The sequence below is a fragment of the Homo sapiens genome, chromosome 7, assembly GCF_000001405.40.
Source record: "Homo sapiens chromosome 7, GRCh38.p14 Primary Assembly".
Taxonomy (NCBI): domain Eukaryota; kingdom Metazoa; phylum Chordata; class Mammalia; order Primates; family Hominidae; genus Homo; species Homo sapiens.
Genome location: NC_000007.14, coordinates 72,096,288 through 72,111,387, shown reverse-complemented (window position 1 = coordinate 72,111,387; position 15,100 = coordinate 72,096,288). Strand labels below are relative to the sequence as shown.

At 46.9% G+C, this 15,100-nt stretch overlaps 1 protein-coding gene and 1 pseudogene across 15 annotated transcripts in view; one reads left to right on the top strand and one right to left on the bottom strand.

The window, feature by feature from the left end:
• Positions 1–15,100, top strand: part of CALN1 (calneuron 1) — a 724,789-nt gene that overhangs the window by 392,892 nt on the left and 316,797 nt on the right. For all 15 annotated transcript variants that reach the window (XM_017012677.2, NM_001363460.1, XM_017012683.2 and 12 more), the window contains one exon: positions 5,094–5,237. In XM_017012677.2, coding sequence (XP_016868166.1) covers positions 5,094–5,237 — 144 coding nt within the window. The remainder of the gene's footprint in view (positions 1–5,093; positions 5,238–15,100) is intronic.
• ABCF2P2 (ATP binding cassette subfamily F member 2 pseudogene 2) lies at positions 7,179–8,216 on the bottom strand (annotated as a pseudogene).

Genomic DNA, 15,100 nt, shown 5'->3' with positions numbered 1-15,100 from the left:
AAGACTCTCTGCTTCCCTTTAGGGAGGAGGGGCTCAGATCCCTGTGGGAACGCCAACTTTGATTCTGGGCGACTCCATATGCTTGCAGAGACTGGAGTCCTTTCAGACGATGCGTGTTGCCACGTGTCTTTTCATACTCCACACAATGACAGTTGGACAGGTTCCTATCACCATTGCAGAGAGCATTTCTGTGGCCCACAAAGACATCTTGGAGGTGGTTAAAATTGGCATACTAGTGTCTAACGTGCACGTGTTGCATGAGATGGAGGAGTAAAGTTTAATTAAAGACCAAAGATACAGCGTGCTCACGTAGCCCTGGCGCACCAGAGACTTTAGGCCAAAGAAGGAGTACGTTTCGGTGAAAAGCACACAACATTACTGCCTGTTCTTGAAAACTTGATCTGTGGTCCCTAGTTCCCAAGGATGGGAAAGTGGCCAAAGCCCACTCAATGCTGGGAGCCGTCCTCCTAGAGCCAGAGGGATCCTGCCTGTTCCAATGTCTCCGTGGGTTTTACGGGCATATTTTTCACACCCTGTTTTGCTATTAAAAATAAAATGAGGCACACATCACATGTCTTTCCCAGACTGCAAGACCCATTTCCTTCTAATAAGCCTCGGTTTGCCTGGGCTTTCCTTACCCTAGAAACATTAACTCTCCCGAGGTGCCTATTATGGATTTCTAGTTTTGTATTTTTTTTCCTGTTTCTGCTATTTTGAAAAAAAAAAAAAAAGTTAGTGAGGTTTGTCTGCTTCTGCAGACAGACAGACACACACACTCACATAGACACACACACGAATTCTCTACGTGGGAGCCAGGAGCTCCCTATGCAAATAGAGAATAAAGAAGGACAGCTTTGTCCTACTTACCTGCATGCCACAGAAAATAGAACCCTGAGCTGATGTGTGGCCTGCGCTGTCCTGGGCTTGGTTGGAGGAGGCCAGCCTTGCTACAGACTACAGAGTAAGCCACAGGCATTCAAGGCTTCGAAGGAGCAGGTCCCTTTAGAGGAGGGAAGTTCTGGAGTGACCTCCATCTATGGTCTGACTTGCTAAATCCAGTAGCCCCAAAGGTGGGGCAACTCGGAGGTCCAAAGGCTCAGCTGTCCGGGTCCTCATTTCCAGGCCATGTTCTCAAACACCCCCAGCTAGGGCCCGCTGGGGTGTCGCCCAATGTAAGGATGTAGGTTGATGCTTACCTGTAAGGTCTAGGGCATACAGGAAGACCACAGGAACAAAGGTCTGTCAATGGAAGGGACCCACCCTGTCCAGCCATATCAGTAACCCAGAGAGTTCAGGATTGAGTCAGAAGGAATGGGAAGTGGAGATGATGCCTTGGGAAGGAGCCTTCCGGAGAACTAAGAGCAAGACTTAGCTTACAACTGGCTATCCAGTAACTGCAGCCGCAGACCTTGTCATCCTCTGACACTTCCTACTGTTGCATCGTATGTCCTGGCCCCAGTGTAAAACCCTGCTATAGAGGCTGGAAGGACATCACACCTAACCCATTTTTTCAGATGGGGAAATTGAGGCTGAGGGGGAAGGCTGCACCAGCTTGCAGAGCAGAGCTGGCGCTTGGCGCTGGCTGCCTCATGGGCTGACTCTCACGTCGGGAGGCCTGGCCTCTGCGTCCTCCCATCCTTGGCAATTGGGGATCTGAGCTCAGGCCACATGAGGCCATGTCCTCCACCACAGTGTCCTTGAGCACAGTGTGCCATGACCTCAAGCTGAGTAGTGGCTCCACGCTCCTTCCAGGCCAGTCGGGACTTGGTAGGAAAACATATGGCTGTTTTAGGTAACCTTGGGCATATTTCATTGATGGGAAAAGCTCAAAATGCAGACAAACGCCTTGATTCAGAATTTGGGTTGGACTAAAATTTGTTTCTATACCATTGATGGAAAGAAAGGGGAGGAGGTGTTGAACAGCAGATTAATAGGGTGTGTAAGAGAACACAGGCTTCCTGTTCTTCACTTAAACACTTCAACGATGTCCACGGATGCACAGAAAGAAGGGCTGGAGGACCTGAGGGATCCATGCAGCCAGCACAGCTCATTTTACGCATGAACAAACTGAGGCCTCCAGGGTTTGGCCGTGGACCTAATTAGCTAATACGCCTGGCTGGGAGCCTAGGGTCCTGGTGCACAGGGTGGTCTTCTCTCTGCTGGGGCCCACAATTCTTCCCAGAAAGAATTCAGCATGCTGGATTAGTATTGATAATGAATTTACTACTAATATATGATCCTTACCCATTCAGACTCATCATCCCTTGAACAGCTATCTGTCTAGCGCCTCCTACAATGTGGGCGGGGAACACACTAAGATGAAAGAAGGGTAGGAGGTGCTTACCGCTCAGAAAAGAAGCCAATGGTAGTATTTCTAGATGGAGTATGCTGGATGTCACAAGAAAGGAATGAATGACCTGCTGTGAACAGTCAGCAGAAAGGGAGATAACTTGGCTATGGTGAGCAAAGACAGTTTTGCGGAATCCATGACCCCTGGTTTGGTGTTTTGCAATGGGCAAGTCCATGCAAACTTACTCCCAAAGTCCAAGGAAGCTGAGAGGCTGAAAAAAGAGGCTGATATATCTAGCTTGTCAGAAAGAAACATTTAATAGGGACTTGGGCTATGTCTGTGTCTTGCGGCATGGTGAGACAAGATGGTGGATGCCCCCAGCCATCACCTACCAGACCCAGGACTTATATATCATAGGGAAGGAATGTATAGACGATTGTAGGGAAAGGCAGGAGTCTGCCTAAGGGCAGGGTGTATGGTAAGAACAAGGTCTTACACAAGGAACAGTAGATAACATAGAAATTTGGGAGGCATTCCCAGAATTAGAGTTTGTCAGAAGTCAACATGGCAGATTAGCATCCAAGATGGAGTCACTTTAGCATCCACACTTGACCTTGAAGGATGGATATAATTTTGGGCAGGGAAAAGAAGAAGGGAAGATATTTTAGGCAGAAGCACTGGATGCAATAGTGTAGCAATCTCAAAACCAGCCCCCAAAGATATCAAATCCTAATCTCTGAGATTTATAAATGCTATCTTACAGAAAAGTCTTTGAAGATGTGATGAAGTTAAGAATCTTGAGATGGGGAGATTATCTTGGATTATCTGAGTGGTCCCTAATGCAAACAGAAGTGTCCTTTAAGAGCAGGACAGAGGGAGAATTACAGACAGAAGAGGAGAAGATGGAGATTGGAGTGATGGGGCTGCAAGCCAAGGAATGCTGGCAGCCTCTGGCAGCTGGAAGAGACAAATGGATTTTCCCTTAGAGCCTTCACGGGGAGCACAGCTCTGCTGACATCATGATTGTGATCTAATGATGCTGATTTTGGAATTTTGGCCTCCAGACTGTGAGAGAATAGATTTCTATTGTCTTAAATCACCAAGTTTGTGGTAATGATCATGCCAGGGCATGGTCAGATATTCAGTGCGGTAGTAAGTAAATGAGTCAGAACCGAGGGGCTTGTATGCGTTTGAAGAGTGATAGAAGGTTTCTGCATGCATCTTACCATCCTGAGTGGAGTCGAGCTGAGTGGGAGAACCCCAATGCCTGGTGGATCATTTTTATTTTTCCGTATTTATTAATACTGTGCTTCTCACGGAATAGAAAGTCAATACTAGTTGACTTTCTATCAACTAGCGTGGCATGGTGAATAATGGCAGCTGACATATCTGGGCTTGCACTGGGTTTATTGATGAAAAGTCAAAGCTGCTCTAGGTCTGGTGTGCTCAGAAACAATTAACGAACCTTTCATCTTCACACTGTGACCTCCAATTCCTTGTGTTATACATCCAATCCAGGACTGACAGCTGCAGTGGCTCTGGAGAAGGGGACTCTGGGTGGAATTTAGAGCAACTCTGGTTTAGGGGAAGAGGAGAGATTGCCTGCCAAGTGAAACAGCCCTTGCTGACCGCAGAGTCAAGTTCTCTGCTAGCCCAGGGGCAAAGTGATTAAAGGCATCTTTTGAGTTTTCACGATGCTCTTATTGATCTGAGGTTGTTTATATCTACAAAACACCTGTAAATTAGGAGAATGAGTCAAAAACAGCCGGATACTTAACTCTTCTCCTCCTATGAGGCTGGAAGAGCTTTCTGCACAGCTCCTACAGCAGCAGGGATCTGAAATATGCCTGCAGAGGGGAGCTGCATTCTCCTTTCCTCCTGAGGACTGCAGTTAAGAGGCAGCTTTCTCCTCACAGCTGAAACCAAATCCTCATCTTTGCTCAGAAAGTGTCCTTGGTTAACATGATTCTCTGCTGGGACCACCATCTAATTGTGTGCCTCCTCCAGAGTTGGAGGATGCTCAGGTCGAGCTGCCTCCTCCCTCCCTTCCTCCTTCTTTCTTTCTTTTTCTTTTTTTCTCTTTCTTTCTTTCTATTTTTCTTTCTTTCCTTTCTTTCTTTCTCTCTTTCTCCCTTTCTTCATTTCTTTTTCTTTTTTTCCTTGTCTGCCTGCGTTCCTTTCTTCCCTCCTTCCTTCCTTTTTCTTTCTTCTTTCCTTTTTTCCTTCCTTCCTTCCTCCTTCCTTCCCTCCTCCTCCCCTCCCTCCCTTCCTTCCTCCCTCCCTTCCTTCCTCCCTCCCTTCCTTCCTCCCTCCCTTCCTTCCTCCCTCCCTTCCTTCCTCCCTCCCTTCCTTCCTCCCTCCCTTCCTCCCTCCCTCCCTTCCTCCCTCCCTCCCTTCCTCCCTCCCTTGCTTTCTTCCTTCCTTTCTCCCTCCCTCCTTCCCTTTTCCCCCTCCCTCCCTTCCTTTCTTCTTTCTCTTTTTTCCTCCCTTCATTCCTCTCTTCCACTCTCCCTTCCACCTTCCTCTTTTTCTCTCTCCCTTTCTCCCTTTCCTTTTCTTTTTCTTCCTCTCTCATTTTCCCTTCTCCTCCTCTCCCTTCCATTTCCTTTTTTCTCTTTCCTTTTTCTTTTCTTCGTTTCTTTTCTTCTGTTCTTCTTCTGTCCTCCCTTTTATCTGATTAAAGAGTTTTAACAAATCACTGTTTTTAAAGCAGTTAGGAGTTCTCAGTAGGCAATCACCAATAACTGCAGTGCAATAAAGCCAGCCATGTGACCACTGGACTTTCTTTGCTTTTCCATTGTAGAAATCCGAGAGGCCTTTCGGGTTCTGGACCGGGATGGGAACGGCTTCATCTCCAAGCAGGAGCTGGGCATGGCCATGCGCTCTTTGGGGTACATGCCAAGCGAGGTGGAGCTGGCCATCATCATGCAGCGCTTGGACATGGACGGTAAGACCCGGACAAGCAGCTTCTCCCCTGAGACATGCCCCGGTCTCATCAGTGAGACCTTCGGTTTATGCAGGGCCTTGCACTTTTAAATCCAGAGACTTGGTTTACATTTGAGAAGCAGAAACTTGGACTAGAACAGGCTTTTTCAGTAACTTTCCATAGAGTTCTAGGGGCCTGTAGAGATGGTTTCAGGGCCACTATAGGATGGGGTGAGGAAAGAGGCCTGGCTGGTGGAACAGTTACAGCATCTTGTTTTTTCCCTTCTTGTCCCCTCCCACCTCCCCATCCCCCTCTTCCCCCTCCCTCATCCCCATCCCTATCCCCCTCTCCCTCCCCCTCCTCCTCCTCCCTCCCTCCCTCCCCCCTCCTCCTCCTCCTCCTTCTTCTTCCTCTTCTCCCTGCCCCTCTTCCTCCTCCTCCTCTTCTAAATAACAGCTTTGTTGAGATAGAATTCACATACTCTAAAATTCACACATTTAAAGTGCACAATTCAGTGGTGCTTAGTGGATGTGCAGGGTTTTGTTTGTTTGTTTCCTCTTTCTTTATTGGATGCTTTGTAGATGTCACACAGATCTACAAGTTACATTGTTGAGAAATTATTTAAAAATTGACCAAGACCAGGGTCTTGGTCCAGAGCTCCAGACTAGAAGCAAAAAGGAATGGGGGCAGTGAGTTGGGGAATGTTCCTCCAACATCACCAAAACCCCTCAAACAAGAATCCTAAGCTCCTCCATGGGCTAGAGCCTGGCCTTGGGCTCCTGGGCTAACCCTCAGTGTCTCTGGCTACATCACACTCAGGAAAAGTTCACCAGCAAGAGGCTGCAGGGAACAGCCAGTCAAGTCCAGACATGGACAAATATAAGTGGAAGGAGGACATGAAACAGGTAACTGTCCCGCTGTAGTTAAGAGTGCAGCTAAGGCAGGTGCGGGGGCAGGGGAGGAGCCAGGGGAGCAGTGCTGCAGCAGTGCCGGGGTGTAGCCCCAGTGTAGCCAGACGAGAGTCACAGATTTGTAAAACCAGCGCCACAATGGATTTTAGTTGGAAGCCACTATCCTCGGCAAACTAACACAGGAGCAGAACGCCAAGCACCACATGTTCTCACCTTTTTTTTTTTTCATGACAGGTCTATTTTAACATTTTTATCTTATTTTCATTTAATTTTTTTAATTGTATTTTATTTATTATTTATTTTAGAGACGGAGTCTCTCTCTGTCGCCCAGGCTGGAGTACAGTGATGCGATCTCAACTCACTGCAGCCTCCGCCTCCCGGTTCAAGTGATTCTCTTGCCTTAGCCTTTCAGAGTAGCTGGGACTAGAGGCATGCACCACCACAACTGACTAATTTTTGTGTTTTTAGTAGAGACGGAGTTTCGCCATGTTGGCCAGGATGGTCTCAATCTCCTGATCTCGTGATCTGCCCACCTCGGCCTCCCAAAGTGCTGGGATTACGGGTGTGAGCCAGCGCGCCCGGCCTAAATTGTGTATTATTTTGGGTTCCAAGATACCTGTGCTTTTTCTCACTTATAAGTGGGAGTTAAATGATGAGAACACATAAACACATAGTGGGGAACAACACACTGGGGCCTGTTGGGGGTGGGGAGGGAGAGCATTGGGAAGAATAGCTAATGGGTGCTGGGCTTAATACCAAGGTGATGGGTTGATCTGTGCAGCAAACCACCATGGCACATGTTTACCTATCTAACAAACCTGCACATCCTGCACATGGACCCCAGAACTTAAAATAAAAGTTGAAGGAAAATAAAAGAACACCTTCATCACTCCAAAAAGGAATTCCACATCTCTTAGCCATCACCTCCCAATCCCCCTGTCCCTGCAAGCCCTAGGCAACCACTTTTCTACGTTGTCTGAGAGACTGGTCAATGGGTAGCAGTTGTTGGTCTCCAGACGGAGGTCCTAACCCAAGACCAGAGGGCTCATGTGTTGTATGTTCTTCTGGTGAGCTGGGGATTCTCATCTACCAGCTTGGACTTGAGGTGTTCCCTGTGGGCCAGGGTGTCTCCAGGCCATTCATTGATTCTCTGCTTCCCACAGACACACATTTCCTAGGCAACCTGGAAAACAAATCCTAGACTTAATCCTGGCCCAGTCACTGTCCCCATTCTTGCCCAGCAGACTGATGGAAGGGGATTCTAAGGAAGAAAATGGCATTATCTTCCTGCCCTACCCCACAAGCCCATATCCTGCACACTGCCTCACTACCTCTAAGTTTTTTGGGATGGTCTATCCCAAGGACACGATAACCCGCAAGCTTTGGAGCCTTCTAAGCTGGAGCTACTGTGTCATTCCCATTGTCACTTCCTTCTGTCTGGACGTTCCCATTGTCCAGATCTGTTCAGAGGCTTCACTCTCAGCCTCCTTCCCCCCCCCTCCATTTCCATCTTCTCCAAAGCTTCAGAGAAATGACCTGCAGCTTATTCTCCAGTGACAGTGGCAGTCCCCTGTCTAGTCCACGCCCTTCTTAGTAGAATCCTGTTTTTGGATTGAAGAATCCTGGGACCAGTAGCAAAAGCACCCTGTTTTCTACCCAACTCTCTGCCCCATTTGGCTCAACAATCCCAAGTTGGTTAACATCTCCAAGTAGCTACTGAAGAAATGAAGTGTTTCATTTAACACTTTCAAAGTAGCCCCATAAGTAGAGCCGTAAGATCTGGTCCTTGCCACCTGTGTCTACACTCTGAGCCTCTTTTCTTAATTCAGTAAGCAAGTACTACGCCCCTTCATATGCCATGACTGCTCCACCCAACCACCTAGACACTCTCTGCTGTACCTCACACCTGGCCAGGACCTCACTTGCTGAATGAGTCCAGAGTCATAGCTGACTAGCTTCATACCACCCTCAAACTCATTGATGGTGTCTTCCAGGATATCGATGGTCTCAATATCCAGGTGATTGGTGGGCATATCCAGGAGAGGAGTATGTAGGGGTTCTGCCAGGTCAGCCAGGCCAGGCTAGATTCAGAGATTTGTGCAACGCATACCACAGTCGATTTTAGAACATTTTCATTGCTCCAAAAAGAAACCTTGCACTTCCTTTTTTTTTTTTTTTTTTTTTTTTTTTTGACGGAGTCTCGCTCTGTCACCAGGCTGGAGTGCAGTGGCACAATCTCTGCTCACTGCAACCTCCGCTTCCCGGGTTTAAGCAATTCTCCTGCCTCAGCCTCCCAAGTAGCTGGGCCTACAGGTGCCCACCACCATGCCCAGCTAATTTTCATATTTTTAGTACAGACAGGGTTTCACCATGGTGGGCAGGATGGTCTCGATCTCTTGACCTTGTGATCCGCCTGCCTTGGCCTCCCAAAGTGCTGGAATTACAGATGTGAGCCACCACACCCAGACAAAACCTTGTACCTCTTAGCCATCACCTCTCAATCCCCATATTTCCCCAAGCCCTACACAAGCACTTCTCTATTTTCTGTCTCTATAGTTGCTTCTGCTGGACATTTTCTACTAATGGAATCATATAATTTGCCTTCCTTTGTGAGTAGCTTCTTGCACTTACTATAGTGTTTCCAAGGTTCACCTGTGTTGTAGCATTTATCATGACTTCATTTCTTTTGATGGCCATATTCCTATTCCACTGTATGGACATAACAGCTTGTTTTATGTCTATTTTCTATTTACTGAGTTTCTGCATACAACCTCACTGGAAAAAATACAACTTTGTAGTGTTTTTAAAATTTGCGACAGAGTCTCACTCTGTCTTACGCCCAGGCTGCAGTGCAGTGGCATGATCTTGGCTCACTGCAACCTCCATCTCCCAGATTGAAGCTATTCTCCTGCCTCAGCCTCCTGAGTAGCTGGGGTTACAGACGTGCGCCACCACGCCCGGCTAATTTTTGTATTTTTAGTAGAGATGGGGTTTCACCATGTTGGCCAGGCTGGTCTCGAACTCCTGAGCTCAAGTGATCCGCCTGCCTCAGCCTCCCAAAGTGCTGGGATTACAGGCATGAGCTACTGCACCCAGCCCTCGTAATGTTTAAAAAGCTTTGAAAAATGGACTGGGCACAGGAGGCGGAGGTTGCGGTGAGCCAAGATCGTGCCATTGTACTCCAGCCTGGGTGACAAAGAGTGAAACTCCATCTTAAAAATAAAATAAGCTTTGAAAAATGACTGCATTTGATAATCTTTAAGTTTCTTCCCTAGTCTAAAACCCTAGGTTTTATCCCAAACCAGCTAGATCCTGCCTTAGATAAAGGTCCAGGAAGGAGGCCTCTTTGTTTTGTTTTGTTAACACATACCCTTTCCCTCTGAAAAGCAGCTTAATTCTAGGCATCGGGCACGAGAGGACTGGGCTTTTGGCGTGCCCAGGTTGAGCATTAGATATACACCAAGAAGCAAGGACAGAGGAGATGGGCAGGAAGTCTCTTTGGAAGAACAGACCAAGGTTATGATAAGGAGATGTTTGCTTGGCCTGCAGGCCAGTTGCAAGAGCGTGGTTTTAGCCTGTTATCTTGCCGGACTTGTTGGGAGGATGATAATAAGGGTGACCATATGGTGAATGGACCCTAGGGCCAACCGCCAAGTGCAGCTGTAGACATTTATTTTCTGGTTCAGGATAGAGATGTTTTATCCAGGGTATTCAGTTGTGTGAGCGGTTCTCAGCTTGTTCTCCCAATTCTGATTGATGGTGACTCACCATGTCTTTGTAGGCCTGATTTGACGTTGCTTTATATTTTAGAGATATTTCTGAAAAGCTGGAGCAAAGCACACCTTTTACAGCAAGATCTCACTTCCAGTGACTTCCATCATTATTTCAGAGATACATTTGCAGGGAAAAAAGTTTCCTCCTTGAAATAAGAAAAGTCTTAATCTATACGTCTGTTTCTGGAACTAAGAAGGCTTTGGGTCTTTGATTCTGCTCACACAACTCTTGTAATAAAACCTAGTCAATCGCACCTGTTATCGGAGGCCGAGGCAGGCGGATCATCTGAGGTCAGGAGTTTGAGACCAGCCTCACCAACATAGTGAAATCCTGTCTCTACTAAAAATACAAAACAATTAGCCAGGCATGGTACCATGTGCCTGTAATCTCAGCTACTCGGGAGGCTAAGGCACGAGAATCACTTGAACCCAGGAGGCAGAGGTTGCAGTAAGCTGAGATCACGCCACTGCACTCCAGCCTGGGTGACAAAGCAAGACTCCGTCTCAAAAAACAAACAAAACAAACAAAAATCCTAGTCAAATGGACTAAATGTGAATGGAATTAGCAATTAGCAACTTCTTTACACATAGGTTGGACTCATTTTTCTTGTAGAGTGTTATTCCTAGTTATGTCCAGAAGTTATTCTTTTTTTTTTTTTTTTTTTTGTGAGACGGAGTCTCGCTCTGTTGCCCAGGCTGGAGTGCAGTGGCGCGATCTTGGCTCACTGCAAGCTCCGCCTCCCAGGTTCACGCCATTCTCCTGCCTCAGCTTCCCAAGTAGCTGGGACTACAGGCACCCGCCACCACGCCCGGCTAGTTTTCTTTGTATTTTCAGTAGAGATGGGGTTTCACTGTGTTAGCCAGGATGGTCTTGATCTCCTGACCTCGTGATCTGCCTGTCTCGGCCTCCCAAAGTTCTGGGATTACAGGCATGAGCCACTGCGCCCGGCTCAGAAGTTATTCTTATAATTGTGGGAGAGTTATTCCTATAAGATTTAAGGATCTTGCTGGGTACCGTGGCCCACATTTTGTAATCCCAGCACTTCGGGAGGCCAAGGTAGGATGACTGCTTAAGGCCAGGAATTTAAGACCGGTCTGGGCAACACAGTGAGAACCCATCTCTGCAAAAACAGAAAAAATTAGCTGGGCATAGTGGTACACGTCTGTAATCCCAGCTACTTGGGAGGCTGAGGCAGGAGGATTGTTGACACTGATGGAGGAGGATTGCTGGAGCTTAGGAGTTCAAGACTGCAGTAAGCTATGATTGTACCACTGCACTCCAGCCCGGGTAACAGAGCTAGACCCTTATCTCTAAAAAAAAAACAAAAAAACTCAAAAAAATTAAAAAAAAGATTTAAGCGTCTTCGGCCCCAAGTTCATGCTTGTTTGTATATTCTCTCATTGGACCCCAGCTTGTGGGGAAATTTTTAGATTATTGCAAATCCTCCCTGATTTCATGAGAGCTTGGAGTCCCTTGGGGCTTTATGTGATGATATTGTTCAAAGAGCTCATCAGGGCTCAGGCATCTGGTATGCGGTTTAAGAGACTACAAGTTTCACCAGTTTATTTGCAACTCATCATACTCAGCTACCAATGCTGAAAGCAGAACTTCTGAGCAAATCTTGCAGCGAATTTCTATTTGTTCCTTTAACAAAAACCCAAGTCATCAACTATTTCACGGTGACCCATCACGTAAAAGCACATTTATTTATTTTTGAAGCTCAGCTTCCTTGAAGTTTTGTTTTGTTGCCTACAAAAGATTTAGTACAAAATCCATGAAAATAACGCATCAGTGTAGGCTACGGGTATTGCTGCCACAAAAATTTATACAGTCCCTAAGTGTGAAAAGAGCTAAATGAAAAATGCCCAGTCTGAGGTTGAAGTGCGTGTCTTGAAGGTATTTTGCAAATTTCACGTTGCCAATGAGTAAACTTCTCAGGTACCAGGTTCTGGTTATGGATGGAATGACTGCATTTAATTGTCCTTAGTGGGGCCTTTTGAGCTGTTCTGTTAAGAAAAAAAAAAAAAAGATTCTAATTATATCCTTCCTTCCTCGCTTCTGTAACTGGGAATCCTCCAGAGATTCGAGCCTACCTAATTAAGTTTCTCTTTGGTGTGGAACATGTGGAATGGCAGTGATGTTTATTAGGTTGATGCAAAAGTAATCACACCAAACTAGTATGTGGATGATGCCAAAAAAAAAAAAAAAAAAAAGGAGTGTTTGGGGCAAAGCTTAGGATTCTTCGCTGTAGGATGACCATGCCTCCTGGTCCGTACACCCCAGTATCTGGGCAGGCAGGATGGCAGTGGTGCCTCCATCCGTCCCATCTGGCTGTGATTAGAAGCAGGTCTGGCCCACACACCAGTCTTCTTTCTCTGGGGTCCCTGCCGCTTTGCCCGACAGTGAGGTCATACCTTCGGCACGAGGCCCGGCTGGAATTCGCCTGGGTTTGTCTGTGCAACTCAAGTTGACACATGAGGTTTTCATTAGGTGGCTCACTGGGAGCGGGGGTGCCTTGCCGGCTACACATGGAACAGTCATCTCCCTGGATTAGGGATCTCGCCTGGATTTCCTGGACACGGATCCATCCAGACATTCCCAGGGGACAGAATGGAAGGCAGGCAGGAGGGTCTGGGATTGCTCACCTGGCCTGGAGCCAGTTTGCCCTCAGTGGTGGGACTGGCTGTGTGTGTGTGTGTGTGTGTGTGTGTGTGTGTGTGTGCGCGCCAAATGGGCTGAACTGCTCAGAGTTATTTTATTTTATTTTATTTTTTATAGAGGCAGGGTCTTACTGTGTTACCCAAGCTGGAGTGCAGTAGTATGCAATCATTGATCAGTGCAGCCTCAAAATCCTGGTTTCAAGCTATCCTCCCACCTCAGCCTCCCAAATGGCTGGGACTACAGGTGTGTGCAACCCCACCCAGCTAAGTTTTTTTATTATTCTTTGCAGAGATGAAGTCTCACTCTATTACCCAGGTTGGTCTCAAGTTCCTGGCCTCAAGGGATTCTCCAGCCTTAGCCTCGCTAAGTGGTGGGATTACAGATGTGAGCCACTGGGCACAGCCTGAACTATTCAGAGTTAAATAAACAAAAAGCCCAAACTTCTGCCCAGTGCCTGGGGTCTCCTCCTTGGCTCATCACTGCAAAAGTTATTTCTTGGAACTTTAACTCAGTTCTTTGTTCTCTTGTGGTCACTCTTCCATTTCTCTTTCATCAGCCTCTGCAGCTAAAGTGACTTTTACCAAGCACCAGTTGGGGACCAAGATTCACCTTTCCTGGATGCCTTTTTTGGGGGCCAGGATCCCTCCATCAGCCCTGATTCTGGAAGCCTGCAGCTCTTTTCCACCAGGCTCCTTGAGACCTTTAAGCCCAATTCCCAAGGTGTCCTTTGCATGTCAGGAATCGACTTCCATCCCCTGCATCGTATTAGTTCTGTATCATCCTTGGATTCGTTGACAAAATAGTCACTTAAAGGCCGGGCGTGGTGGCTCACGCCTGTAATCCCAGCACTTTGTGAGGCCGAGGCGGGTGGATCACTTGAGGTCAGGAGTTTGAGACCGGCCTGGCCAATATGGTGAAACCCCATCTCTAATAAAAATACAAAAATTAGCTGGGCATGGTGGCAGGCACCTGTAATCCCAGCTGCTCAGCAGGTTGAGGCAGGAGAATTGCTTGAACCTGGGAGTCAGAGGTTGCGGTGAGCCGAGATTGTGCCATTGCACTCCAGCCTGGGTGTCCTAGTGAGACTCTGTCTCAAAAAATATATATATAAAAGAAAAAAAAATAGTCAAAAAATTGTCTCCAAAGCTGTATTCTGTTTAATTTTTTTTTTTTTTTTTGGGTAGACATAGGGGGTCTCACTTTGTTGCTCAGGCTGTCTTGAACTTCTGGCTTCAAGTGATTCTCCCACCTCCGCTTCCCAAAGTGCTGGGATTACAGGCTTGAGCCACCACACCCAGCCACAGCTGAATTATAGAAGCAGGTTGAGAAGAATGGCTTCTTGAAGTCACTGTGGGCTGTGCTACACCCTGTGTGTTCCCCTTAGCTCTGTGGTCCCCACAGCAGCTGTTTGGGTGATCTCAGAGCTTCCTGCATCATTCACTGGGGAATAAAGGCTTGATATCCTCAAGACCTAAGGGATGTATTTGACTGATTTCTGCATTTTCAGTGTTCTTTTTTTTACACTTTAAGTTCTAGGGTACATGTGCACAACGTGCAGGTTTGTTATGTATGTGTACACGTGCCATGTTGGTGTGCTGCACCTATTAATTCGTCATTTACATTAGGTATATCTCCTAATGCTATCCCTCCCCTCTCCCCCCACCCCACGACAGGCCCCGGTGTGTGATATTCCCCTTCCTGTGTCCAGGTGTTCTCATTGTTCAATTCCCACCTATGAGTGAGAACATACGGTGTTTGATTTTCTGTCGTTGTGATAGTTTGCTGAGAATGATGGTTTCCAGCTTCATCCATGTCCCTACGAAGGATATGAACTCATCCTTTTTTATGGCTGCATAGTATTCCGTGGTGTATGTGTGCCACATGTTCTTAATCCAGTCTATCATTGATGGACATTTGGGTTGGTTCCAGGTCTTTGCTATTGTGAATAGTGCCACAATAAACATATGTGTGCATGTGTCTTTATAGCAGCATGATTTATAATCCTTTGGGTATATACCCAGTAATGGGATTGCTGGGTCAAATGGTATTTCTGGTTCTAGATCCTTGAGGAATCGCCACACTGTCTTCCACAATGGTTGAACTAGTTTACAGTCCCACCATCAGTGTAAAACTTTTCCTGTTTCTCCACAACCACACTACTAGGTCATCTGGAGTGAATCCAGCTAGCTTTGCAAATGCTTTCCTGAAACAGTCGAACCAGGAAGCGTTCTTGGCAGCTCAGGGGCCCTCCTCGGTCTCCCAAAGGGCTGGGATTACAGGTGTGAGCCATCATGCCCGGCCATGAGCCTGATCCTTTAACAATCACATCAGGTTATTGTGCAGCAATCTGTCCATTGACACAATTGGGTGGGGGCGGGGGGACCCTTGGTTAAAAGAAAACTCTTTGGCTACAGAGAAGTCATTGAGCTTGTGGATATTTGCAGGAGCAAGAAGGTCTGAGTGGAAGATACATGTGAGATGATGAGGAGTTTTTCCCTTGAAAACCTGATGAAGGAAGTAAAGTCTGTCCTTAGGGGT